This window comes from Homo sapiens, chromosome 13 (genome assembly GCF_000001405.40).
Source record: "Homo sapiens chromosome 13, GRCh38.p14 Primary Assembly".
Lineage (NCBI taxonomy): Eukaryota > Metazoa > Chordata > Mammalia > Primates > Hominidae > Homo > Homo sapiens.
Genome location: NC_000013.11, coordinates 36,908,945 through 36,936,616, shown reverse-complemented (window position 1 = coordinate 36,936,616; position 27,672 = coordinate 36,908,945). Strand labels below are relative to the sequence as shown.

The window sequence follows — 27,672 nt, the reverse complement described above, 5'->3', positions numbered from 1 at the left end:
CAGACAGTTTTACAGGAAAATTTTACCAATCATTTAAAGAAAAAGAATTAACACCAGTTCTACATACTCTCTTCCAGAAAATAGAACAGATACCAAAAACCAGAACAAGAGAACAAGAAAACAAAACTACAGACCAGTATCTCTCATGAATACAGGCATGAAAATCCTTAATAAAATATTATCAAAGAGAATTTGGGAATATTTTAAAAGATTTACCCATCACGACCAAGTGTGACTTATTATACATCTGCAAAGCTAGCTCATTATTTGAAAAACAATCAACATAATTCATTATATTAACAGGCTGAGGAAGAAAATTATATGATTATATCAGTTGATTCCCACAAAAACCATTTGACAAAGTTCAACATCCATTCACAATAAAACCCTCAGAAAACTAGAAATAGAGGGGAACTTCCTCAACTTGATAAAATGTAAGCACATAAAACCTACATAAAACATTATACTTAATGGTGAAAAACTGAGTATTTTCCTCTTAGGGCAGGAACAAGGCAAGGATGTCTACTCTTACCACATTCTTATTCAATATAGTATTGGAAGTTTTAGTCAATAAAGGGGAATAAAAGACATACAGACCAGAAAGGAAGAAATAAAAACTCTGTATTTGTAGATCACATGATTGTCTACATAGAAAATTCTAAGGAACCTATCAAAAAAAATCCACCTAGAACTAATAAGTGAATTCATTAAAGTCACAGAGGCTGGGCACAGTGGCTCATGCCTGTAATCCCAACACTTTGGGAAGCCGAGGCAGGTGGATCACCTGAGGTCGGGAGTTTGAGACCAGCCTGACCAACATGGAGAAACCCCATCTCTACTAACAATGCAAAATTATCCAGTTATGGTGGCACGCGCCTGTAATCCGGAGGCTGAAGCAGGAGAATCGCTTGAACCCCGGAGGCAGAGGTTGCAGTGAGTCAAGATTGCGCTATTGCACTGCAACCTGGGCAACAAGAGCGAAACTCTGTCTCAAAAAATAAAAAATAAAAAAATGAAGTCACAGAATACAAGATAAACATACAAAAATTTATTGTATTTATATATACTAGCAATGAACACATGGACACTGAAATTATACATGCAATATCATTTATAATCAACCAAAAAAAGAGGAAATAGGTGTAAATCATGTATACACAAAACTCTACAATGCTGATAAAGAAATCAAAGAAGATCTAAGTAAATGGAGAGACATATACCATATTCCTAAATTGGAAGACTCAACATAGTAAAGATGTCAATTCTCCCAAAATTGATGTACAGGCTTAATACAATTTCTATCAAAATCTCAGCAAGAATTTTAGTAGATGTAGACAAGATTATTCTAAAATTTATATGAAAAGATAAAGGAACTAGAATAACTACAACAATTTTGAAAAAGGAGGAAGAATCAACCTTTTTGACTTCAAAACTTATTAGATAGCTACAGTAATCAAGATTGACACTATTGGTGGATAGATAGATACAGATCAATCAACAGAACAGAATAGAGAACCCAGAAATAGGCCCATATGAACATGCCCAACTGATTTTTTAAAAACATTTAGTAGAGACAGGATCTCTCAATGTTGCCTAGGCTGGTCTCAAACTCCCGGCCTCAAGCAATCCTCCCACCTTGGCTTCCCAAAATGCTGAAATTACAAGTGAGCTGCTATACCTGGACCCAACTGATTTTCAATGAAGGTACAATTGCACTTTAGTGAAGGACACAATCTTTTGAACAATTGGTACTGGGAAAACTGGACATTTATAGGCAAAAATTGAATAACCTAAGTCTCACACCTTACACAAAACTTAACTCAAAATGGGTCATAGCTTAAATGTAAAATGTCAGACTTTTGGAAAGAAAAACACAGGAGAAAATCTTTGGGATCTAGAACTAGACAAAGAGATCTTATACTTTATACCTAAGTCACAATCAATAAAAGGAAAAATTAAATTGGACTTCATCAAAATTAAAACCTCTTGCTCTATGAAACACCCTGTTAAGAGGATGAAAAGACAAGTTAGAGAGTGGAAGAAAATACCCCAAATCCACATATCCAACAAAGAACTAGTATCTTAAATATATTAAGATATCTTAAAACTCAACAGTAAAAAAGTAAATAAATAAACAATTCAATTTAAAAGTGGTCAAAAGTACGAAGAGATGTCTACCAAAGAAAGATATACAGGTAACAAATAAGCACATGAAACCATACTCAACATCATTAGCCATTACCAAAACACAAATTAATACCACAATGAGATATCTACTATACCCCTAGCAGAATGGTTAAAACAAAAAATAATGACAATGATAAATGCTGACAAGGATGCAGAGAAACTAGATGATGCATATATTGCCGGTGGGCATGTAAAATGGTATGGCCACTTTGGTAAGTATTTTGGCAATTTCTTTAAAAACAACACATGCAACTATTACACGACCCAGCAATTGTGCTCTTGTGCATTTATCTCAAAGAAATGAAGATTTATGTTCACACAAAAACTTTACATAAATGTTTATAGCAGCTTTACTCATAATAGCCACAAACTGGAAATATCCCAGAAGTCCTCCTACAGATGAATGGTTAAACAAACTGGAGTGTATCCGTACCATGCTATACTACTCAGCAACCAAAAGGGACAATTATTGATATACTCAATAGCCTTAATTAATCTCCAGATTATTATGCTGAGTGGAAAAAAAGCATACATACCGTATGATTCTATTTATAAAACATTATTGAAAGGACAGATTTATAGAAATAGAGAATGAATTAATGATTAGTGAAAGTGTTGGAGTAGGAAAGAAGTGGATGTGGCTATAAAGAAGCAGCAGGAGGGATCCTGTGGTGATGGAAATGTCCTGTATCTTAATTGTATCAGTGTAAATATCCTGGTTTTGGTCTTATACCATAGTTTTGCAGGATGCTACCACTGGGGGAAACTGGGCAAAGAACACTGAGATCTTTCTGTATAATTTCTTAAAATTGCATTTTGTCATTGTTCAGGCTGCTATAACAGAACACTATATACTGGGGTGGCTTAAACAACATACATTTATTTCTCACATTTCTGGAGGTTGGGAAGTCCAAGGTCAAGGTGCCCACAGATCCATGGTCTGGTGAAGGACTCTTCCTCATTTGCAGTAAGCTGTGTTCTCATGGTGCTCTAATTTGGCAGAGAGGGAGAGTGGGTTCTCTATTATAAGGACACTAATCCTATTCATGAAGGCTCTACTCTCATGACCTAATTACCTCTCGAAGGCCCACCTCCTAATACAATCATATTGGGGGTTAGGATTTCAACATAAGAATTTTAGAGAGACACAAACATTCAGTCCATAACCCATGTAAATCTTCAGGTATCTCAAAATGAAAACTCTAATTTTGTTGTTGTTGTTGTTATTTGTTTGTTGAGATAGAGCCTCACTCTGTCAGCCAGGCTGGAGTGCAGTGGCACGATCTCAGCTCACTGCAGCCTCCACCTCCCAGGCTCCAGCGATCCTCCCACTTCAGCCTCCCGAGTACCTAGGACTACAGGTGTGTGCCACCAGGCCCGGCTAATTTTTTTTTTTTTTTTTTTTTTTTTAGAGAAGGGGTTTTGCCATATTGCCCAGGCTGGTCTCAAACTACTGGCTTCAAGCGATCTGCCCGCCTTGGCCTGCCAAATTGCTGGGATTACAGGTGTAAGCCACCATGCCCAGCCTAAAAAGTTTAATTTTGAAAACTAAAATAGGCATTTAACTTTTTCCCCCAGTCCTGTTATTACTGTTACCACCACTACCAGCTACTACTGCCACAACTACTGGTTTTATTATTTTTTAAAAATGCACAGATATTCTTTTAATTTAAAATGTAAAAGTTCTGGTCTTTTTATAGCATAACAGAACATTGGAAGAGGTCTTGTGATTCCACAGGCAATCTTCTGGCATCACAAATGGGGAGCTATGACCCCACTGCAGGATAATCAATAAGCTATGCATGCAAACTAGTGTCTAACTTGTCCTTTTTAAAATAAAAGGAGTATTGGCCAGGCGCAGTGGCTCACACCTGTAATCCCAGCACTTTGGGAGGCCGAGGCGGGTGGATCACCTGATATCAGGAGTTCAAAACCAGCCTTGACCAACATGGTGAAACCCCATCTCTACTAAAAATAAAAAAATTAGCTGCGCATTGTGGCATCTGCCTGTAATCCCAGCTAATAGGGAGACTGAGGCAGAAGAATCGCTTGAACCTGGGAGACGGAGGTTGCAGTGAGCCGAGATTGCGCAATTGCACTCCAGCCTGGGCAACAGAGGGAAACTCCGTCTCAAAAAAAAAAAAATAAATAAAAATAAAATAAAAGAAGCATTAGAAGAACCTATCAAATACAAGCCCTAATCAGAAGAGGACAGATTATCATACCACTCCAGATGTAGGTAGGATGAGATTTGGGCCCACTAATGTTTTCAACTATGGTTACTTTTCTCTTCCCACAGGCTGATTATGTAAAGAGAAAAACAAATGGAGGTTTTAATTTTAAAACCCTCAGTTTAATCAAGTCCCATATAATGTTTTACCCTCTTTAACATCTGCCACCTGCAATTCACCTTTCTGATTATTAATAGTAAATGTATTATAGCTGAGCTTTAGTGGCAACCATATCACATTCACTTTTTTACATTCACTTCATTAAAATTATTCTAATGAAAACAGAAACTTATTTATATTTCACGTAAGAAATATATGCTGGAAAATTTAATCTCATTAAAAATGTGGTTTCTTGGGCATCATATTTTCCTCTAGACAGGCATTGGTTTGGGGGATAGATACTGATTCGCGAGTATGTGACTTTTTCCAGTGAGGTAAGCTGTGTGCATGTCAGTTTTCTTATCTATGACATGGTATCTATGATATGATGTGGGTTGCTTCCCCACAGGGTTATAGTGGTAACCAAATTAAATAACATGAGCGTCAGCTTACAAACTAAAACTTTATGAAAATGTACAGTAACACACATGTACATATCAGAAAGAATATTTTGGTATTTTGTAAATACAGAATATTATCTCATATTTTATTTATGTGTTTATGACCTACCTTATTCTATAGGCAACTTTATTTTAAAAGACTTTATTTCAGGCCGAGCATGGTGGCTCATGCCTGTAATCCCAGCACTTTGGGAGGCCGAAGCTGGTGGATGCAGTGAGCTGAAATCGAGTGATTGCACTCCAGCCTGGGTGACAAGAGTGAAACTCTGTCTCAAAAAAATAAAAAAGACTTTATTTCTCCACTCAAACTTCTCACTCTAAGAGTAATGCAAAAACTAATGAACAGGCCGGGCGCAGTGGCTCGCGCCTGTAATCCCAGTACTTTGGGAGGCCGAGGCCGGTGGATCACGAGGTCAGGCGATCGAGACCATCCTGGCTAACACGGTGAAACCCCGTCTTTACGAAAAACACAAACAAAAAATTAGCTGGGTGTGGTGGCGGGCGCCTGTAGTCTCAGCTACTCGGGAGGCTGAGGCAGGAGAATGGCATGAACCCGGGAGGCAGAGCTTGCAGTGAGCTGAGATCGTGCCACTGCACTCTAGCCTGGGTGACAGAGCAAGACTCTGTCTCAAAAAAAAAAAAAAAAAAAACAACGAATGAACAAATAAGTATCAGGGTTTGTTTCCTTCTATGTCTATTTAAAAATTTATTCATTTTAATTGATAAAAATTGTATATATTTATGGTATAAAACATGATGTTTTGAAATATGCATGCATTGTGTAATGGCTAAATTAAGCTAATTAACATATGCATCACCTCACACACTCATCATTTATTTGTGATATATATAGTTAAAATCTACTCTCTTAGCAATTTTCAAGTATACAATGCATTGTTATTAACTATAGTCACCAGTCACCATGTTGTATAATAGTTTTCCTGATCGTATTCCTCCTGTAAATGAAATTTTCTATCCCTAAATTTTTTTTTTTTTTTTTTTTTTTTTTGAGACTGGGCCTTGCTCTGTCACCCAGCCTGGAGTGCAGTGGTGGGATCTCGGCTCTCTGCAACATCCATCTCCTGGGGCTCAAGTGATCCTTCCACCTCAGCCTCCCGAGTAGCTAGGACTACAAGCACATGTCACCAAGCCCAGATAATTTTTGTATTTTTTTTGTAGAGACAGGGTTTCACCATGTTGCTCAGGCTGGTCTCGAACTCCTGTGCTCAAGTGATCTGCCTCCTAAAGTGTTGGGATTGCAGGCACGAGCCACTGCACCTGGCTCCTAACTATTGTCAACAGAGGGCTAAAAAATAGACCTAAGACTCATTAAATGATATGTGAACCAATAGAAAAGACATGGAATCAACCCAAATGCCCATGAACAAGACTGGATAAAGAAAATGTGGTATATATATGCCATGGAATACTATGCAGCCATAAAAAGGAATGAGATCATGTCCTTTGCAGTGACATGGATGAAGTTGGAAGCCATTATCCTCAGCAAACACACACAGGAACAGAAAACCAAATATTGCATGTTCTCACTTATGAGTGGGAGCTAAACAATGAGAACACATGGACACAGGGAGGGGAACAACACACATTGAAGCCTGTTGGGAAGGGAGGGTGGGGAGAGGGAGAGGATCAGGACAAATAGCTAATGGATGCTGGTCTTAATACCTAGGTGATGGGTTGATAGGTGCAGCAAACCACCATGGCACACATTTACCTATGTAACGAACCTGTACATCCTGCGCTTGTACCCCAGAACTAAAATTAAAAATTTTAAAAATGATATGTGAACATAGAAATACATCATCAAGGAAGAAAAGTGATTAGGTCAAATGTTTAAGATTCTGTGTGCACATGAAACATTTTATGTGTACAGAAAATGCTTTTAGAGATATTCTTTTATTAGCATTTAAAGTATTTTGAATATCTCTTTAATTTCTCCTAGGGTTCTATAAATTAAAGTTAAATGAAAGAGCAATGTGTGGATCGAAGAGCATAAGATTTATTAGCCATTATAAAGATGATAATACCATGAAAATGGCAAAAAGGCAACGTGTTAATCACTTCACAGTTATGAGGAAAAAAATTAGCACATTTCAGACAGGCAGCACACAGACAGGGGTCTTGCTGGTCTCATGGCTTCAGCCTGTCCTTTAAAGGAAAGGAGAGACATTTTCTAGCCAATTTGAGGCCAAAACTTGGCTTTAAACTAAGGGTTTGTTTTCCCGTTATTAGCGGTAAACCCCAACTATTATTCTGAGCTTCCCTAGGTTGTTGCTTTTATTTCAGAAAGTATTACACAGCTTCCAAATCAAAATTAAATTTATCTTTAACTTAAATAGCTGCTATTCAAAAAGAATGGGGCCCATTTAGTTCTATGGGGATCAGGTGTCACAAAATCAAACACCCCCATCACAAACTACAAAAATATATAAAAATGAAATAAATAAATAAAATTTAAATGTAAAAAAGCCCTTATAATGGGATTAGAGTCTGTGCCACATATACCGTCAAATAATTAAATCCCACGTAAAAATAAGAATAAGCCTTAGTTTTACCCTTACAGTGGAAGTTTTGTGGATCATACTCTGTCTCTTCAGCCCCTTTAACATGCCTGCCACTTCTCTATGAACATGCATCACCACCCAGTCCACCCTCACTACACACACACACACACACACATACACACACACACTACTGTTAGTCTTCCAAAAAAGAGTCCAGGGGCAGGCATTGTTTTCTCCTTCATTGCTCTGCACTTGGGATATCAAAAACTCAAGCCCAAGCCCAGGATCCATTATCCTATTCTCTTCTTCTACTCATAGTAAATCTTCCTACATTTCATAAGTATTTAATGAGCATTTACTATGTGCCAGACACAGTTTTAGCTGTGAGAAATGAGAGCAAAATCAGACACACTCTTCATTCTTTTTGATGTTATAATTAATTAAAGGGGACTGATATTAATCAAATAGTTAAATTATATATCAATGTGGAACAACAGTGTTGATTATGAATGAGAAAGATATAGGCCACATGAGATGACAAAACAGAGGATCTAAGTCAGAGAAGACCAAGAAGGCTTCTCTAGGATGTGACACTTAAACTGGGATGCAGAGGAAGGGAAGTCACTAATGAGGCAAGGAGGGGAAGAAGGAGCACTCTACAAGGAAGCCCAGGTGAAATTTCAACTGGGAGCTGATGGTTGAGTAAGTCCTGCCACTTAATTAAGTAGAAGGCTTTCTGTTCTTTTTTATTTATGGCATATTCATTCATTTATTGATTTAATTTATTAAAATCTTTGTGGGTTTGTTAAGGGCAGCAGAGGTATCAAGAACGAGAAGCAAATATGCCATCAAAAGCACAAGCAATAAAAGCAAAAATAGACAAATGGGACAACATCGAACTTAAAAAACGTCTGTGCATCAAAAGAAACATTCAACAGAATAAAAAAATCAACCTACAGAACGGGAGAATATATTTGCAAATCACATATCTGATAAGGGTTCATCTTCAGATTACATAAGAAACTCCTACAACTGGACATCAACAACAACCACAATTACAACCAGAATAAAACATTGGCAAAGGACTTGAACAGACATTTCTCTAAAGAAGGTATACAAATGCCAACAGGCATGCGAAAAGATGTTCAACAGCACTATTCATAAGAGAAATGCAAATCAAAGCCACAACGAGCCATCTTCTCGCACCCTGTAGGATGGTCACTGTCAAAAGAACACAAAATAACAAGAGTTGGCAAGGATGTAGAGAAATTGGAACCCTTGTGCACTGTTGGTGGGCGTGTAAAATGTGGCAGCCATTGTGGACAACAATACAGCGTTTTCTCAAAAAATTAAAAACAGAATTACTGTTTGCTCCAACAATCCACTTCTGGATATATATCCAAAGAATTCAAAGCAGAATCTCAAAGAGATACTTGCACACCCATGTTCATTTTTTCACACCAGCCACAAGGCAGAAGCAACTCAAATGTTCACTGATGAATGGATAAAGAAAATATGGTATATACACGCAATAACAGAATGTTATACAGCCTTAAAAAAATAAAGAAATCCTGTCACATGCTACAGCATGGATAAACCTCCAGGACATTATGCTAAGTGAAATAAGCCGGTCACAAAAAGACAAATACTGTACGACTCTACTCATATGAAGTATCCAAATCAGTCAAAAATCACAGAGACAGAAAGTAGAAAGGTAGTTTCTAACCGGGGGAGAGGGCATTAGTGATTAATAGGCATTGAGTTTCAATTTTGCAAGATAAAAAAGTTCTAGAGATCTGTTGCTGCAAGACAATAGTTAAGACTACTGAACTATACATTTAAAAAAATTAAAGACATTAGCTTCCACTTCCAGGAAGCCACGGCTTACGATGCAGACATGTCTAAGTCCAAGAACCACACACACAACCAGTCCCAAAAACTGCACAGAAATGGCATCAAGAAACTCTGATCACAAAGATATGAATCTCTCTCTTTTATTTTTTTGAGACGGAGGCTTGCTCTATTGCCCAGGCTGGAGTGCAGTGGCTGGATCTTGCCTCACTGCAACCTCCGCCTCCCGGGTTCAGGCAATTCTCCTGCCTCAGCCTCCCGAGTAGCTGGAAGTACAGGTGCCCGCCACCACGCCTGGCTAATTTTTTGTATTTTTAGTGGAGATGGGGGTCTCACTGTGTTAGCCAGGATGGTCTCGATCTCCTGACCTCATGATCCACCTGCCTCGGTCTCCCAAAGTGTTGGGATTACAGGCCTGAGCCACTGCGCCCAGCCGATATGAATCTCTTAAGGGGGATGGGCCCTGAGTTCCTGAGGAACATGTGCTTTGCCAAGAAGCACAACAAGAAGGGCCCAAAGAAGATGCAGGCCAACAGTGCCAAGGCCATGAGTGCACGTGCCAAGGCTATCGAGGCCCTCGTAAAGCCCAAGGAGGTTAAGCCCAAGATCCCAAAGGGAGTCAGCTGCAAGCTTGATCGACTTGCCTATATTGCCCTACCCCAAGCTTGGGAAGTATGCTAGTGCCCTCATTGCCCAGGGGCTCAGGCTGTGCTGGCCAAAGGCCAAGGCCAAGGCCAAGGAATAAATCAAGACCCAGACTGCAGCTCCAGCTCCAGTTCCAGCTCAGGCTTCCTAGGTGCCCAGCCTCCCACAAAGGCTTCAGAGTAGAGATCTTTGTCTTTGTCTGCCAACGTGAGGACAGAGGACTAGCGCGACACCCCCGGGCTGCCGTGTACATGGGGTTGGTGTTCTCCTGTGCTATTTGTACAAATAAATCTGAGGCAGGAAAAAAAAAATCAGACATTAAAAAAAAGTCAGTCTCATCTAGTCCCTAAAATGGTTCCAAATAACATATTACTAAGCACATTTTTAAATAAATGAATAAATCTGATTAACTCCAATAGTAACATGAATTTAACTGAAATAATAAAGGTGCGTTTCAAAATTTTTTTAAAAAGAATGATAGTCAACAAAACACTGAATTAATGATTAAAAGGTCACCGGTGACCTCTAAGAATATTAGAACAGCACTGAAATCAAACAGTGCACAGCGGAAGACAAAAGCCAGATTTGGTGAAATTAGGAAGGGTGGGGTGGCAAGGAAGAAGAAACAAATATCAGCCCTCCTTGTGAAGTCTGACAGTGGAAGAAAGGCCAAATATTGTGTCGGTTTGAGAAAGGGTTTGTTCTCTCCCAGGACGAAAAGCTCTAATTTGATTGATTTCATGACCTTGGTTATTGTTTCTCTCTCATAGAACAAAAAGAGAGATGCCAAATGGACTTAAGAGAAGTGAAACCCAGAGGCTGCAAATTGTTAGCCAAACTTGGTTCACCATAAAACCCAGGTGGGTTGCAAAATATTTTAAGTTGTGGTTGGGCACAGTGGCTCCTGCCTGTAATCCCAGCACTTCGGGAGGCCGAGACGGGCGGATCACCTGGAGATAAGGAGTTCGAGACCAGCCTGATCAACACAGTGAAACCCCATCTCCACTAAAAATACAAAAATTAGCTGGGCATGGGGGCATGCACCTGTAGTCCCAGCTACTCGGGAGGCTGAGGCAGGAGAATTGCTTGGACCCACGAGACGGAGGTTGCAGTGAATCTAGATCACACCACTGCACTCCAGCCTGGGCAACAGAAAAAAACTATTTTAAGTTGTAAGATTTTCCATAAAATTCTGGATGTCTGTTATCTCTTGAAAGGATATTCTTATTCTCACACGGCCACAGCTGGCTGGAGCTGCATAGCAATCGCTCCCTTTAGAATGGCAAAGCCACATCTGTCTTCTAATTACTTTCCGAATATTTTTCACCACATACTAAACATTTCATTCATTCGACCAATATTTATTGAGCACCTACTATGTGCCAGGCATTGTTCCAGGCTGTGGGGATACAAGTAGTGAGCAAGACCAGCCTTCTAACAGAGGAGCCAGTCAAAACAAACATATACATAGTTTATATAATTTCATGTAGTGATGCTGCTCTGAGGTGGAAAAAGGTAAATACATTTTAGGAACAATTGTGGGAAGAGGAGGGTGATTTTCTTTTATCTTTTTTCCCCAAAGCATAGTTTCCTGCTTCATAGTACTTATTAACCAATTTCTTCTAAAGGTAGCATTTCCTCCCGTCTTCGGTCCTTGATTCCTCCAGTTTTTTTTTTTTGCCAAAGTTTATTGATTATCTCTTCAAAGTGTCCATAAATACATCTCCTCCTCACTTTTCTAGAATCCCACAGACGCCCATCACCTCATGCCTAGAATGTTGCAATGGCTTCCTAATTGGTCTCCTTACCTCTTCTCTCTACAAACTTTTCTCCCTCAGCCCCTTCCACCTTCTAGCCTGTGTAGATTATTCTTCCTGGGATGTCACTGCCCATGTTCATCACTTTTCAACTCCACTTCAAGTTCCAGGACAACAATGAGGTGTAAAAACCTGGGCGTTGGAGAAAGGCAGCCTGGAGGGGATAGTCTGTGTGTCCCTCAGGTTCCTCAACGTAAAATGCAGATGATAATTCTCCCGTGAGAGGTCATGAGAGGGAAATGAGAGGAGGTGTGGGAAGCGCCAGTCCAGTTCCCGGTTGGGGGACTCTCACAATGGAGGCAGCATCTGATCCTCACTGCTGAGTCAAGATGGTCCATTGCTCTCTTGTCTCAATCCTTTAGAATGTATTTGGTGATGAACTGCTGTGTTAACATTGTTTTTCTTATCTATCCAACTAGTTTGACAATTCTCTTAGGAAAACTGAGGCTTTTCTACTCAAAGCCTCAGGGAATTCTGCACATAGTAGGCATTCTGCCTTCATGATTGAACAAGTTGGGCCTGCATTAGAGTGTCAGGCCAGGGTGGCAAGTGGGCTGAAGTGCAGCCTGCACTCTGCTGTGAGGCTGACACCTGCAGGGCTGCACCCACTCAGGCAGGGTGGAGGCCCAGGGGGGTGCAGGACAGTAAGTGTTCATGCTCTCAAGTTGGAGCTAAAATTTCGACCCTGTGAAGACCTCCCTGACACCTCCCTGTGCCCACTCCCCTACGGTGACACACAAAGTTGTGTGATAATCGTTGGTAGATGTATCTCTCTCTTAGGCTGCCTTTACTAAGGGCCAGTGCTCTGTGTTCATATAGTTAATTCGGGTGCCTGGTACTTAGGAAAGCATTCAATAGTGATTATGGAATGAAAGATGACTTTCAAGGAAAGTCCGAATGGGAGGCAGAAAAACTGCAGCATCAGGACAGAGTTACAGATAAAATTTAGAAAGGAGACTTGAGGTGGGAGGAGTGTGGAGGCTATGATTCCTAGTTATTACTCTGAGTGGAACCATTATCATGCTAGCTCAAACTTAAGGTACAAGAGACGTACAAAGCAGAATCTTTGCATCCATGGATGACTACAGACTTTGTTACAATCTGTTATTTTTTTATTTTTTAATACTATTTTATGTATACTCACATGAAAAAATGGTTATACTATCATGTTTACATAATACTAATATTGGAAACAGAATTCAGTAACCAATTACATTTAAATTTTATAAAGAACACACAAACATTAAAACACTGATTAGTTATAGAAAGCAGAGTTTGAGGAAAAACCATTAGCTATAATTTTTATTTTCATTAAAGAGCAGCACCCTCTGAGAAGAATCAAACCAATCAGTAATATTCATCTATATCATAAAGTAATAAGTACAAAGGAAAGCTAGTGACTGTACTGATTTTATTGCTTTTACTAAGCCATTTTATGTTCCTCACACTCAATGAGAAGAAATAAAACATAATCTGAAGAAAAATATCTCATTATTATTCGCAATAAAAAATCTGCTTCATTCTGCAGGCCTGGGCAGATTGTACAATAGAGAGCACTTAATGGCTCAAATGGATCAATGTACCAGTTTGATTCTGATCCACGGAATAGAATCTCATCCATATTTGGTGGCTGGACTAACTCCATGGGTGCTGTGACAGACTGAACTATTTTTGTGGTATCCCCAGATCTCACTAAATAAGAAAAGACCCTACACCAGAAAATATAACAATCAATCCGTCCATAAATTTTATCTATATGCTTGCTCTTCAGTATAAGTTGGAAAAAGAGGCCCTTTCTTGAGGACATGGATAAAAGTATTATGGTCTAAAGATTGCTGGATCGATATTGTGTTGTTATAATAAAGATAAGGTACACATTGAAACCACTGTCTGATTAAGAAACTTCCACAACTTGTCTCAATTCTTCAAATAATGGAGTAAGTTTCTTTTCTAGGCTGACAATTAGTTCTGTATTGGCATTGCTGCTGGCTATGAAACTCACCACCAAAGGTAAATGATTTAACTGAATCACCAGGTAGGTGTAACAGTAACAGATGATACTTTTATTTTTTGAAAGTCCAAGTTTGCTCCCGTGGTCTGTTGCAAGGGCAAAAGTAGGTAAGAAACCAGGTCTCAAAGCATGCTCTGGAGCATTATCAATGGCCACTTTAATAACAGGTACTCCAACTCTGACACAACAATAGCATGGAGCCCTTCAACACTTTGTAACATTTGATACATGAATCGCTTTAGGTCATCCGCCATGATGAACCCCCTTCTCTTGCAGGATCAATCTCCTTGCCTGGGGTTTCTGGGCTGCCCGGTTCTCTCCACTGTCACTTCAGGAACAGCTTCAAAGACCACAGTCTGGTTTTATGCTGGGTATATGGCAAATGCAAAGAATTGGCTCTCTCTTGGGGTAAGGAAGCTGCCCTTCCTACCACTGTTTTATAGCCTGAGGGAGTTCGTGTTAGGCCAAGACCTTATCATCTTTCAGAAAACAGATTTCAGTTTTGCCGTGGTTTTGAGGTCCTGAACCAAAATTTCACTGGCGGTTCTACCAAATCACAACCTCTGAGTCTCTCCTTTCATATGATTCCCATAACAGAATGTTTTGGTGGAAGTTCTATTAAGCAGTAAAACCACAGCCAATCAAGAAATCACTGGGAAAGATAAAGCGAAGTCTAGCTTTCCATTAACCAGGACAGTCAGCTTCTGTAAAATGGAGTGTCAACACTGCGCCTTCTGTCTTAGGCCAAGCATTTTCTCCTTCTTGGAACTCACCAGATCTTATTGTTCTTGAGCGTAATGGATTAACTTTCTATACTAGCCTTGAGGAATACATGATAGGAATTATATCAGTGACAGACTAATGTTTAGGCAGGAAAAAGTCATCATCGTGCAGAAATATCCTGGTATGTAAATGAGAACGTACAGAAAAGAGCAGACTAGACATACTCTAAATCAAAGGCCTGCCAAGAGTCAAGAGAATTCTGCGAACTGAGAAAGACTCCATGCCAGAAGCATGAGCCAGCGCTGCAGAGGTTATAATTTCTTTCTCTGCATCTTGTCCTCTGCATTATGCTCATATACGAGAAGGAAACTGAGATAGTGATTGGGCCATTTCTTTTCTTAATTTAATTTTTAAAAACTTGAGCCACAAGGTATCAATTCTGAGGACCTAATTAGTTTACTGGCAATAAAGTCCACATCCAGCCTAATCCTTAATATATAATCTGTAGCCCTTACCGGTCCCGCTGTTTCCTGGTGTTTCTCACCCAGGACAATCTCAAACCCAACACATAGCCGGGTGCAGAGGTATCTGGGCCAGTGTAGAAAGAAGACTTTGAGGTTAAGGCATGGTATTTAAGGTTCTGCTGCAAATGTTGTTTTAAACAAATCACCGTTCAACTACAACGGTATAATAATGCAAAAATAGCATCTGCCATGAAGAAAGTGCAGTGCTTTGAGAACTAGAAAAAGCAGTTAAATTTAAGGCCTTGCTTTACATTTCGGAGCCGCCATCGGGGCCAACTGGAGGTATGACTTTCCTGCACACAGGAGCAAGCTGAAAACTGCCCTGTGGCTTTATTCCACGTTCACCCCTGCAGCAAATGCCTTTTCTGTGAGGAACTACGGGCTGATGGGGAATCAGAGGTGGTTCTTCCTAAGTGGCGTTTCTGAGTGGGTTCCAGGAGTCCACAGTGACTTTAAGAGGCAGGCTACCTGGGGGACAGCCAGGCCGTGAGACGAGAAAGTTGTACAGTAACATTGCTGTGTGCCCATAAGTTTGTATCTTTTATTAGATTAGATAATATATCTCACATGCTGGGTTGTTAAGCAAATAAATATGTGTAAGGAAATTACAATCCACATAATTACATGAGTCGTTTTAACCACCACTCACCCCCAGAGTGATTAGATTTTCTTCTGCCTATGCCATTGCGGCCCAGTTGCTCTGTCACTGTCCATGGGGACAGGATCCCCTTACTCCGAAAAGCAAATCAGGAACAAACAGGGCAAGTGAGAGTCACTATCAGGGCCCAGAAACATGTGAGGAACAGCAGCTCAGAAGGGTCTCCAGACTGATGGGCCGGTGATCCTATATTCTTGTTGGGCTGACAACTCTTCTGGTTTCGGGCTCCAGGTGCTGGCAAGAAATCTCAGAGGTGGGGTGGGAGAGAGAGACGCGAGGCGACCCACGCAGACAAAGGGCTCCCACCCCACCCCCGGGCCACCCCGGCAGGCCGGGCAGGGGCCGAGCCTGGGGTCGCGCAGGGGGACCGAGAGGGCAGCGCGGGGCTGGGGGTGGGGAAGAGGCGGGAACCGAGCCGCAGGCCGCTGCGAGGAGTACTACCCCGCCACCCCCGCGCCGCGAGTTTCCGCGCACGTGGCCGTGGGGCCGGTCTCGCTCCCGCCCCCCGCCGGGCCCGCGCAGCCCCCTCCTCTGCGGCTCCCGGAGCGGCCAGAGCGCGCGGCGGCGGGCGGGGGCGGGCCGCAAGCAGGGCTCCCTGGCCGCTTTCCAGGTCGGCGCACTAATACGGGCGATGAGGCTTCGCGGCTCCAGTCTGACTGACGCCGGCTGGGGCCGCCGCCGCCGCCGCCGCCGCCGCCGCTGCTGCAGCCGCTGTCTCGGTCCCCGCCGCCGCCGCCGGGCCCTGCAGGCGCTGGGCGCGCGCAGCCAGGCAGTGAGTGCGCGGCGCTCGGAGCGGGCGGCCGGGGGACCACGGCGGGGGCGGGGTTGGGGGCGCCGGACCTGGGTGGGGGAGGGATGAGTGGCACGGCGGGGACAGGTAAGACGTGCCCTCCTCGGCCGCGCGCTGCTTGTGTGCGTGCGTGTGAGCGCATTGAGTGGAGGGCGAAGTTGTTCGTCCTCGGGGCAGCCTGGGAGGCTCCTCGGCGTGAGGCTTGGCTTTTGGCGGTCGTTGTTCCCGGGTTTTTTGGTGGAGCCTGTCTGGGGTGGAGTGGGGTGGGGTGGGGTGGGCGCGGGGCCGGAGGGGACTGCTCTGGGGAGTTGGCCGCGGCGCAGCTCGCCTTCCTCGCGCCTGCATCCGCCCGCGCCGCGGGCCCCGGGACCTGTCAGGGGATGTTCGACCCGCGGCGGGGGCGGCGGTCGGGTCGGGGCTGGGGCCCGGGGCGTGGGCAGGGACCAGGATAGGCGCCTGAGGGGTCGCTTGCTGTAGCTGGAGATAGGGGACAGCGGACAGAGGGGGCGGCGGGGGTCGTCATTGTGACTCTTTGGGGGCCACTTTTAAACTCGCCAGCGCCGAATTGGCCTCACTTGCCTTCTGTTTCGTAGGCTTTTTGCTTTGTTTACCTTTGAGGCATGCGAACTGAGAAAAAAAGTTAGGAATGTTGTTGAAGTGTCTCCGGGCTCGCGCTTGGACTGTGTCGGAGCCGGGGTGTTTGTCTTTTCCTTGGCCCGCCCCTCGGTGCCAGCTCTCCGCAGAGGGGAGGGGGCGAGGTGGGAAGCAGATACAGGAGACTGCCTGACGCCAGCTTTGTGATCGGAAGGAGGAGCGCTGGGAGAACATTTTTATGGATGGCTAATCGCTGACAAGTTTTCCCGTTACTATTCCTTCCTCCTCCTGCCCTTGACCGTGGACATTTGAAGTGATAGTTTGGAAATACTACGTTGACTTATTTCTGGGCTGGAGTGGGTACTCCTGAGAACTAACCTACAAAGGATACAAATCGAGTTTGGAGATAAAATTGTATGTAAATTCTTTACCCAGTAGTTTACAGTGAGAAACACACCCACAGGGCACTGTGGAGTGCTTTGGATGGATCCAGTTTACTAGTACCATTTCGGTGGCTTGCCAGATTTCTCGGATGATCTTTTGGAAATGTAGGTTAGCAAGAAGCATGGAGGCTGACCGTTAAGTCGTGAGGCATTTAATAATGCTGCCTCCTAAGCAGTAACTGAGCGGAACGTTTGTGGCACCCGTCTGGGAAAGTGAAATGTGACTACTACAAGCATGTCTCCTGCCTTAGCATTCCTCCAAGTGTGAGGGAATGCCTTTGGATGTTTACATTTTAAAAATAGTGATCTATATTTAAGAAGGCATTTAAAATAAAAGCCAAAGACATTCTCAACTCCAAATAGACAAAGATTCAATATAAGAGTTTCCCTGTGCTTGTAGGAAAGCATCAGCACAATTTTAGACTGCTTTTAGGTTTGTGGTTATCCAAGAAGGAGGCTTCAGATAAGAAAAGGATGTGACGCTTTATAAATAAGGAGCATTTTAAATACAAGATGACAGCAATTTCAAGTACTGTATCCGAAAAACAACTTTTAGTGGTAATAGTCACCTTCAGTGATGGCAAGACAGCTGTCTGCCAGACAGCCTTCGGCCTCTTAATGTATTCTGACACAACCAACTCCCATTTTTATGCTTGACTGGTTATCTTTGTCAGAGCTGTTTTATGCTTGAGCTCTCTGGTTTCAAACTATGCTTAAGAGAATGCCAACATACTCTTGATCTGAACAAACTCATGTTTATCAGTGCAGTGTTTACTAAAAATCAAAGACGTAAACAAATTTTGGGTTAAACCTCTAAGTACTTTAGAATTGCCACATCATTGTCATCAGTCTTTCAAAGTCAACATGAACTATTTGGCTTTTCTCCTTTAAAAAATTTTTTTAACTTATATATTCCTAGTTAGTAAGTAATCAGAAAATATTCACAGATGTCAACTCTTGCATCTGTGATTGCCCAAGACATGGATGAGAAAGAAGAGTTTTGTTTTGTTTTTTAAATGAAACATTACTAAAGATATCCATAAGTAATAAACAAGTGGTACACTATCTTTACTAATCATGTGGTCAGTTGGAGGGAAAAAAGTCTGTCCAGAAATTGTTTCATAAAGATGAAAATATTCAATGTCAATATGAAAATACTCAATATGTTTTCCAAATAGTTTAATTCTGATTAATGAGAGTGCACTATGCATTGCCAAACTGGAGGGATGGTGTTTCGTAAGTGAGCACCGTAGGATTAAGGTAACTACTTTATATCTGACATTCCCTCTGTAATAAATAGGACAGCAGTTTCATCATGTTCTGCTTTAATATGTGGGAAATAATCCTTATCCACAGGATGTACTCTGATTTTAGGGAAGGTAAAGGTTATGACAAATATGTGGTTTTTCTGATTTGCCAGACATACTATGCTAAATTTTAAAGCTTTAACGAAGCTTAGTGCAGACTTTCTGTATATTGTTTTGGACACTTAGAGAGGAGTTAAAGAAACGGGAAACTGTCCAGAATGAAACAGTAAATATAGCAGTACGTTGAAACCATGAATCTTCTCAAATAGTTGTAATTCTAGGCTGTTGGATTTATATTTCCTTGGTTACTGTTGCTAGTGGGTTGAAAAGTTATTCTAAAGCAAAAAAAAAAAATGCAAACAGTAAATGCATAAGTACTTAACAATACTGTGAGCATTTTCACAATGTTTCATGTTATCCTGGTGAATGTCCATGTCCTAAGTAAGGACATTAAAAAAATAAACAATTATCCCTTGGTAATAAACTAACCTTTTAAAATAAATATTCCGGTAAATTTTGTCTCTTAAGAAACTTGTGTCAACTAAAGTTGTTAGGATTTCAAGATATCTGTTAGCATTAGGAGTCATTATACCCATGAAAACTGGATGTTCTTCTTGCTTGGTGGTCTTCATCCTGACACTTCCTACCCCAAAACCATGACGGACACCTCGGCCGCACTTGCCTGACTTGTATTCTGCTCTCCTTTGGTGTCGGCTTCCTTTTGTGTTAGGCTGACCCAAGACCACTTTTCCAGGCTTATCTTCCCGGTCTTTCCCTATTTTATGCTGCAGTTAAAATAGCAAATGCTAGTTTCCATGCATACCCTGGCTTTCCTCTCCTGTGCACCTTTACCCCACGCTGAGGCCTTCCCAGCTTCCCCACCTCCCACAGGATCCTCAAATATGACTTCTTCATCTTGTATGCCCTGTTCAGGCGCTGCCTTCACGGGACTTTCTGTGATGACCCTGGTCCCAGGTATGTCCTCCTTCGAGCTCCTGTGGCTCTTCGCCTTTTCAACTCTTACCTGTTTTGTATTAAGTTACTCATAGACTAATTTATTTCTTCCCCTCAGACCATCCTTACAAGATCCAGGAAGGAAGGGACTGTTTCATCTACCTTTTTTATTCTCTGAATGCTGACCACAGTGCCCTTTATAGTACTCTATCAATAAATAACAAATACATGACACATTTTTTCACTGAACCCATGGTCCCTCCTGAAATAAAGTCTGTAAAAGCATTTCACCCATAGGATAAAGTCCATCTTTCAAGAAGCTGGTGTTGAATCTGAGCTGAGGACTAGTTCAGAGGCCTGAAATCCCCTCAGCCCAGTTGAGAGCCTCCTTCTCCTGAACATTGTGGCTGAGCATTACAGTCAGGAAAAGCTTCTATGATACTCTTATTGCATTAGCAGTTTTCCATATCAGATTCACTAAATACACAATGGAAGCCATTTAGTAGAAAAACAGATTTTAATGTGATACGGCTACCACAATGAAACACTAATGTGATTCCACAGAAAATTGCTAACACGATATGCTGATTCCTCCCCCCACCATAGCCGCATAAAAATTGATACTGTTTTTAATGTATGTGTTTCAAACTATGCTCACAAAAGAAAAGCAGACTGCTACTGAGATGAGCTGCTGCTTTGTTCACGTTGGATGTGTAAAGGGTCTTGTTATCAGCCTCGTCAGGCAGAATCTGCCTTCTGTGCCTTGGTCATTCTATTATCGAACAATACTAACTCTCATTTTAAAATATATCATGTTCTGTGTAACAATCCAGTATTAAAGTTAATATGATGTGAAAAAATAGAATTTGCTTATAAATGTCATGCCCATATAATATATTCAGTTGTACCGTTTTAATTGGGAAGCTCTAATCAGCTCAAAACGCATTTTTCAAGAATCAAAACGACTCCCAATATAAAATTTAAATTCAGAATTTAAAATAAAAGGCATAAATATTAAGGTGGATTGTATATGTGTGTGCACACGGTTGTAACACTTTAGAAGTCATAAGCACTGAAGAGATTATGGTTCTTCCCCCTCATTCCCAGCCCACATTTAATTCAAAGAAAAAAGTTTAACCCAAAGAATAATTGTAAAGGAGACCTATGTAGTTCTGATTTTTTCCTATAATGACAATTTCCAATTCCTCTTTTTTAGATATTAAATATCAAAATCTTCTCTCTCTCTCTCTCTCTTTGTCTCATTCTTTGGTACTCTGATTAGCTGATTCACTGGTGGGGATTATTTTTATGTGAATTTCCCCTTGGGGAAATTTAATACTTAATATCTGATCACTTCCTTTTCTTTTTCATATTTAATTCTGAGGGACTATAAATAGAAAACATGTACTCCTCAGTCCCGAGGAGAGTTTGGTGCTGCAGTTGCGAAAAGCAATCTTCAGTTTACAAGCACTAGGAGTGCCAGGGATGCCCATTCATTCTAGGACTCCAGTTGCCAGTTTTCTATCACTGAACAAAGGAATCTGGATAGCATACATGTGGTCTTGCGGCCATTCAAACGTGTTGGTGACATTGGGGATTCTGAGTTGAGGATTCTGACGACTTAGAGTTTGCAAGTAGTAGAAGTGTGAACACTGTGAGGTAGCCACATCCTGAACTCACTGACCCCAGGAGCACATCCCTAGATACACTGGGCCATTTGCCTTAAATGACTGCTTTAATCTATGGAATATCTTCTTCCATACAGCCTGTTTTTTACTTTTCATCTGTTAAAGTGCTTAGAAGCCTATCAAATACAGATTTACTTTGGTTACTGTGTATTTTGATTTGTTTTCACAAAACGCAATAATTGTGCAATGGTTAATGTCATTCTAAAGGATTTTGTCCTACGTACTTGTGGGCTATGGAAAGCTTACAGCAGATTTGCAGGTCTTTTTTAAGAAGCATTTGATGGATGGTAGCGTTCAACTGAAGTGCCAGGAGTTGCTTTCTGAATTCTTGTATCTAAATTTAACTGACTTGGTAGTACCACATTTCAGGAGTTAATGGTAACGCAGAAAGGGATTCACAGATTCCATCAGTTTCCCACTTTGTGGCAGAATATTTGACATCTCTTATCAGTACACTTCATCATAAGTTCATGAATTCATCTTGCTCCTTTCTTTGCTGAGAATCACAGTGAGAGAATTGGAGTTTGGCTGAGAGGAGGAGTGAGGAAGGAAGAAGGAAGAGTAAGTTTTTTTTTGTTTTGTTTTTGTTTTTTGAGATGGAGTCTCTCTCTGTCGCCCAGGCTGGAGTGCAGTGGCACCATCTCGGCTCACTGCAAGCTCCACCTCCCGGGTTCATGCCATTCTCCCGCTTCAGCCTCCCAAGTAGCTGGGACTACAGGCACCTGCCACCACGCCCGGCTAATTTTTTGTATTTTTAGTAGAGACAGGGTTTCACCATGTTAGCCAGGATGGTCTCGATCTCCTGACCTCATGATCCGCCGGCCTCGGCCTCCCAAAGTGCTGGGTTTACAGGCGTGATCCACCGCGCCTGGCCCGAGAGTAAGTCATTTTAAGGCTTGGGCAGTAGCACTGTTGAGAAGTTTGAGGCACCTAAGTGTGGAAAGAGGGTGTTACAGAAAGCAGATTGGCAGATGCCAAAGGTAGACATCACATATTTGAATTAGTGTTAGTAGTATGAAAGGCACCTGCGTTGTGAGTTGAGAGGATCCTAGTGAGCTGGCCAGGGAAGTACATTAGCACTCATGACATTGTTCTAGGGGAAGGTGAATTCCAGTTTCCAAATAACTATGCAGGATTGAACACCATTTGTTCATAAAGCAAGACCACCAGTGATTGATGATATGGGTGATTATTATTAATGACATAAGTGATTATTAGAAGCCAAGAATGGTGGTAATGAATGTGGAAGATGAAAAATGTGTTAAGCTAAAAAGATTTTAGGTCTCATGTGGTTTTCTTTGTCTTGTTTATGCATTTAGTCATTCTTTGTTTTCTAGTGGAAGTAGAATTTTATTTTTAGGAATAGGAGTTGAATAAAATATTTGTCAAAGACAAACATTTATGGACATGAATGCTTCCCTTTCAGCTTATTGACTATATGTTTACACAAAGCAGTCATTAGGTGTTGGCTGTGTTTGCAAATAATGACAAGTTGGTATTATTTCAAAGGAGTGGCAGTTTTACTTGCTTTCTGTTGTCATTGCATCTAATTTTATTACAAGATATTCTAAATACACTTTATTTTTTTAAAGTTGTATTGATTATATCTTGGGGTTTTAAAGTGTTGCAATTTTGTGGGTGTAGCAATCACTTTAGAAGGTGGAACTTGTAAATTTATGGGGCTTGTATAGGATATTCATTCAACCATTATTTACTCTGTGTCTATTGTGTCTACCCTGCCTATGAGGCCCCAGAACAGGCCCTGGGGACTACACAACGAAATGAAGTGACAAAAATAAAATCCTAGTCTCCAGGATTTCATAGTGTAGTTAGCGTGAAAGAGATCAAGAAAGCAAATATTAAAATATTTCTCCAATAGTAAGATGTCTTACTTCCCCAAACTGTAATCTATTTGGGTTTATTTCTCTATTCAGCTGGCCCTGTGAGTCAGCAGTTTCTGCATCAACAGATTCAACCAACCACAAATGAAAAATATTGGAGAAAAAATTAAAAATAACACAAATAAAAAATAAGATATAAAAACCATTTACATAGCATTTACAGTATAGTAGGTATTATAAGTAAGCTAAGATGATTTAAAGTATAAGGGAGGATGTGGTAGGTTATATGCAAATATACCATTTTATACGAGGGACTTGAGCATCCTTGGATTTTGGTGTCTGTGGGGATTCTGGACTGAATCCCCCATAGATACCTGGGGATGACTGTATTTTTCCTGATTAGACTTCCGTATTTTCTGTGTGTGAATTTTTAGTTAGTCTTGTCAAGGATAATGAGAATGATCTCATTTGGGATTTGGGAGGTAAACTAGAAGGTAGAGGTAAAATAGAAGACATAAACAGGAAGAGATTCTTTCAGTAAGTCCTTATGAGAACTTAGAGATGCTGAGAACATCCCTAGGCCATGGAATTTCACTACTTCCTGAGTCTGTCAGGAGGAGGATCCAGCCTTTGTACAGTTTCCTCCTGTTTTTCCCTGCTACCCTTTACTGGTTCAAGGGTGAGTGAGTTTGCATGGCTGGTCCTATAGGAAACCCCACCCAACCCTTTTAGCCAGCCAGGGGCCTCCAGACCACTTTGAATACACTCTTCTAGTAACTGTTGTAATAGTGCACCTATTACTTGCCTGATAATAATATGTTTAGATTGCTGTCTCAATAGTAGTATAGAGGAAAGGGACCATGTCTTATCTTGAAATATTCAGCTGCTAGGGTAGTGTCCACTTCATTGTTGATACTTGAACCACTCCACCTTTCACTTCCCTAAATATGTTGGGTTTTCAACGATCCCACCTTTCTCTTCCCTAAATAGGTTGGTTTTTGTAGGGTAAGGTGGAAGGAAGGGCAAGGAATTTGGATTTAATCTGTAGGCAAAGGAGAACTATTCAATTTTAACCCGTAGTCATGATAACTATTAAATGGTTTGAACAGAAGAATCACATAATCAAAGGGGTATTTGGAAGAGTGAAGACAAATTCAAGTGGTTTGCATGCTTTTAAATGGCCACAACTCCTAGCTAAGCAGTTGACACACCATCTCCACTGCTTCATGCTTCTCTTTAGCAAATAAAAATCTGAGCTTCCCCGACTGGGTGCGGTGGCTCACACCTGCAATCCCAGCACTTCGGGAGGCTGAGGTGGGCGGATAACCTGAGGTTGGGAGTTCAAGACCAGCCTGACCAACATGGAGAAACCCCATCTCTACTAAAAATACAAAATTAGCTGGGTGTGGTGGCACATGCCTGTAATCCCAGCTACTGGGGAGGCTGAGGCAGGAGAATCGCTTGAACCCAGGAGGCAGAGGTTGCAGTGAGCTGAGATTGTGCCATTGTACTCCGTCCTGGGAAACAAGAGCAAAACTCTGTCTCAAAAAATAAAAAATAAAAAATAAATTGAGCTTCCCCGAACAGCAGTTCATAACACGGCTTATTTGTGATTCTTTATCAGTTTATGAACTCCACCCGCCCCCCCCCCCCCCAGGCAGCCTTTGGCCGGGAAACAGCCTTCCTCGAGACACACATCTATAAAATTTTAAAAATTGCCCACACATCATTAAAAATATATATATTAAACAGATGATTTATAGTCATTTAATACTTTACAAGTATTCAGACAGATTATGCTCTATATAATATTACCTTAAGTAGATAGACTATGCATAGGAAGTAGGGAATGCATTATATAATTCTGTCTTTCAAAGAAATTTATTGTATTGCGTTAGTAAAGCAATGGGCTTTAGGTTAGAACTTCAATTAATTACATGGGGCTTAATGATACAATAGTTGGCCAGGTGCAATGGTTCATGCCTGTAATCCCAGCACTTTGGGAGACCAAGGGGGGCAGATTGCTTGAGCCCAGGAGTTTGAGACCAGCCTGGACAACATGGTGAAAACCCTTCTATGAGAAAAATATTTTAAAAATTTAGCTGGTCTTGGTGGGGCGTGCCTGTAGCCCCAGATACTCAGGAGGCTGCAGGGGGAGGATCTATTGAGCCTGGCAGGTTGAGGCTGCGGTGAGCCATGATCACGCCACTGCACTCCATCCTGGGTGACAGAGCAAGACCCTTTTTCAAAATAGTAATAATAATATTAATAATACAATAGTTAATGGTATTGATAAAACTGGATTTTACTTTCATTCATTCAACATTTATTGATGGCCTCCTGCATGCTAGGTAGGTAGTACAGACCACAATGTGGCTTGGCTTGTGGCCTGATAGAAGGCTAGGCATCTCTGGAGAAAACACTTACCAAATCTGGGGATTCAAGTGTGGTAAGTGCTGTTGTGAGTGACTAGCACATGTTAGGTGCTGTGGAAGCCCAGAGGAGCAGCAGAGAGCTGATCAGTGCTGTTGCCTGGGGGCCTCCAGGGAAGGTTTCCAGGAAGTTGGCTTCCAGCTCTGTTTTGAAGAAGGAGCAGGAAAGATAGAGCTGCACAGGGGCCTTCTGGGCAGGGAGGGAAGGAGTGATGGGCAAAGGGAGTGAAAAGAGATGAGGCTGGGAATGTAGTCTGGGGAGGCCAGATTGCGAACAGCCTTATTTGAAATTGATGTTACAGGCGTCAACTCACAACCCCCACCTCATGATATTTAGTGGGCTTTTAAGTGTAAAATGTATGGATACAGACTCAGAGTAGAAATTTGGGAGATTCACTCTTGGTGGTGTACATTCTGTGGGTTTGGACAAGTGTATCATGACGTGTATCCACCATGGTAGTATCAGGCAGAGTCGTCTCATTGCCCTGCAAATTCTCTGTGGTCTGTGTTTTCATCCCTCCCTCTTCTCATATTCACTATGGTTCCATCTCTACATTTGAACATAGTGTATTTGAGGATCCTGGAGTCAATGGTGGTTAAATTTTAGTTTAAAGAGCTTGTTTTTAATTTTTTTTTTTTTTTGAGACGGAGTCTCGCTGTGTCCCCCACGCCGGAGTACAGTGGCGCGATCTCGGCTCACTGCAAGCTCTGCCTCCCCGGTTCATGCCATTCTCCTGCCTCAGCCTCCTGAGTAGCTGGGACTACAGGCGCCCGCCACCACGCCCGGATAATTTTTTGTATTTTTAGTAGAGATGGGGTTTCACCGTGTTAGCCAGGATGGTCTCGATCTCCTGACCTCGTGATCCACCCGCCTCGGCCTCCCAAAATGCTGGGATTACAGGCGTGAGCCACTGCGCCCAGCCGGTTGTTTTTAATTTTTGGGGCACCTCTTAACTCCCACAGTGAAGCCTACAGGAGGAATAAACAGAAGTATACCTCCATGTTGGTAATATACAATATTATCTTAGTTTACAGTTTTCAAACTGCTTTCTCTCACATCCCCTCAGTACTTCTGCACAAAAGGTAGTGACTATTGTTTCCATTTTACAGAGGAGGAAACAATATGGAAGTGACTAATTACTTGAAGATGACAGTGATGGTACTAGCACTCAGACTGGAGTCTTCTTCCTCCATTCTTGTGTTTTATTCATTATATCATGTTGCCTCTTGCTTCTGGAAGCATTAAATTGTGGGCCCTTCCAAACTTAAATAATAAAATAACACATTTGTGGGGTGGCATACAGTGTTTCCAAGAATATGCTGACTATATGTGTGTGTAAATTATATACAGTTTATTACGTATGTGTAAAGAATGTAGGTTGCAATACTAGAAACTTACACCATGATCTCTACAAGGTAGTGCTGGCCTTCTCTTGTATCACTGTTATGTTGGCTTATCACTGAAATGTTTAAATATGATCTTAATATTCAGACTATTACATGGAAAAATATAGAACATTCTAAACCTACCTTAAGTGACCCAAACTATTGGGCATGACCTTTAGACTCCTGTCTTTGCTGCTTTAATGCCCATTCTACTTCCCTTTCACTACATAGCAAACAGGCAATGGAATAGTGGTTCTGTCTTCCAAAGAAGTGATAATGAGCAACAATAAAAACTGTATCTAGTTTCTTTAATTTAAAAAATAATTCAAAATCTCCGTTGAAACTTTAAAAATGATATCCAATCAATAGTAACATTCTAGCCAAAAAAACTGTACGAGTGGCCAAGAGAACTGTATTTTAGGGATGTAAGTAAATGTAGACCAAGGCTTCCCAAGTGGCTTATTAAGTATAAATTCCAGTGACATCTGCTTACCATAGTACTTCATTG

At 41.4% G+C, this 27,672-nt stretch overlaps 1 protein-coding gene and 2 pseudogenes across 16 annotated transcripts in view, besides 3 other annotated features; 2 read left to right on the top strand and 1 right to left on the bottom strand.

Annotated features, from left to right (window-relative positions):
• On the top strand, positions 9,787 to 10,298 carry RPL29P28 (ribosomal protein L29 pseudogene 28; annotated as a pseudogene).
• Positions 9,964 to 10,465: an enhancer, noted in NCBI's record as "H3K4me1 hESC enhancer chr13:37500289-37500790 (GRCh37/hg19 assembly coordinates)". NCBI's record gives its function as "activates a minimal SCP1, AML or CMV promoter by ChIP-STARR-seq in naive H9 embryonic stem cells {active_cell/tissue: H9 hESC(naive)}" and the evidence as "EXISTENCE:reporter gene assay evidence [ECO:0000049][PMID:30033119]".
• LAMTOR3P1 (late endosomal/lysosomal adaptor, MAPK and MTOR activator 3 pseudogene 1) lies at positions 12,927 to 14,174 on the bottom strand (annotated as a pseudogene).
• Positions 15,763 to 27,672, top strand: part of SMAD9 (SMAD family member 9) — a 76,024-nt gene continuing 64,114 nt past the window's right edge. For 8 of the 16 annotated variants that reach the window (XM_047430366.1, XM_005266404.4, XM_047430365.1 and 5 more), the window contains exon 1: positions 16,379 to 16,501. The gene's annotated coding sequence lies outside the window, so the exon portion shown is untranslated. Of the gene's footprint in view, positions 15,983 to 16,378; positions 16,502 to 16,580; positions 19,839 to 27,672 lie in introns of those variants that run through there. The other 8 variants (XM_047430367.1, NM_001378621.1, XM_047430362.1 and 5 more) reach the window with 4 other exon arrangements.
• Positions 16,239 to 16,288: a silencer, noted in NCBI's record as "silent region_5269". NCBI's record gives its function as "represses an Ori minimal core promoter by ATAC-STARR-seq in GM12878 lymphoblastoid cells {active_cell/tissue: GM12878}" and the evidence as "EXISTENCE:reporter gene assay evidence [ECO:0000049][PMID:35858748]".
• Positions 16,399 to 16,468: a silencer, noted in NCBI's record as "silent region_5268". NCBI's record gives its function as "represses an Ori minimal core promoter by ATAC-STARR-seq in GM12878 lymphoblastoid cells {active_cell/tissue: GM12878}" and the evidence as "EXISTENCE:reporter gene assay evidence [ECO:0000049][PMID:35858748]".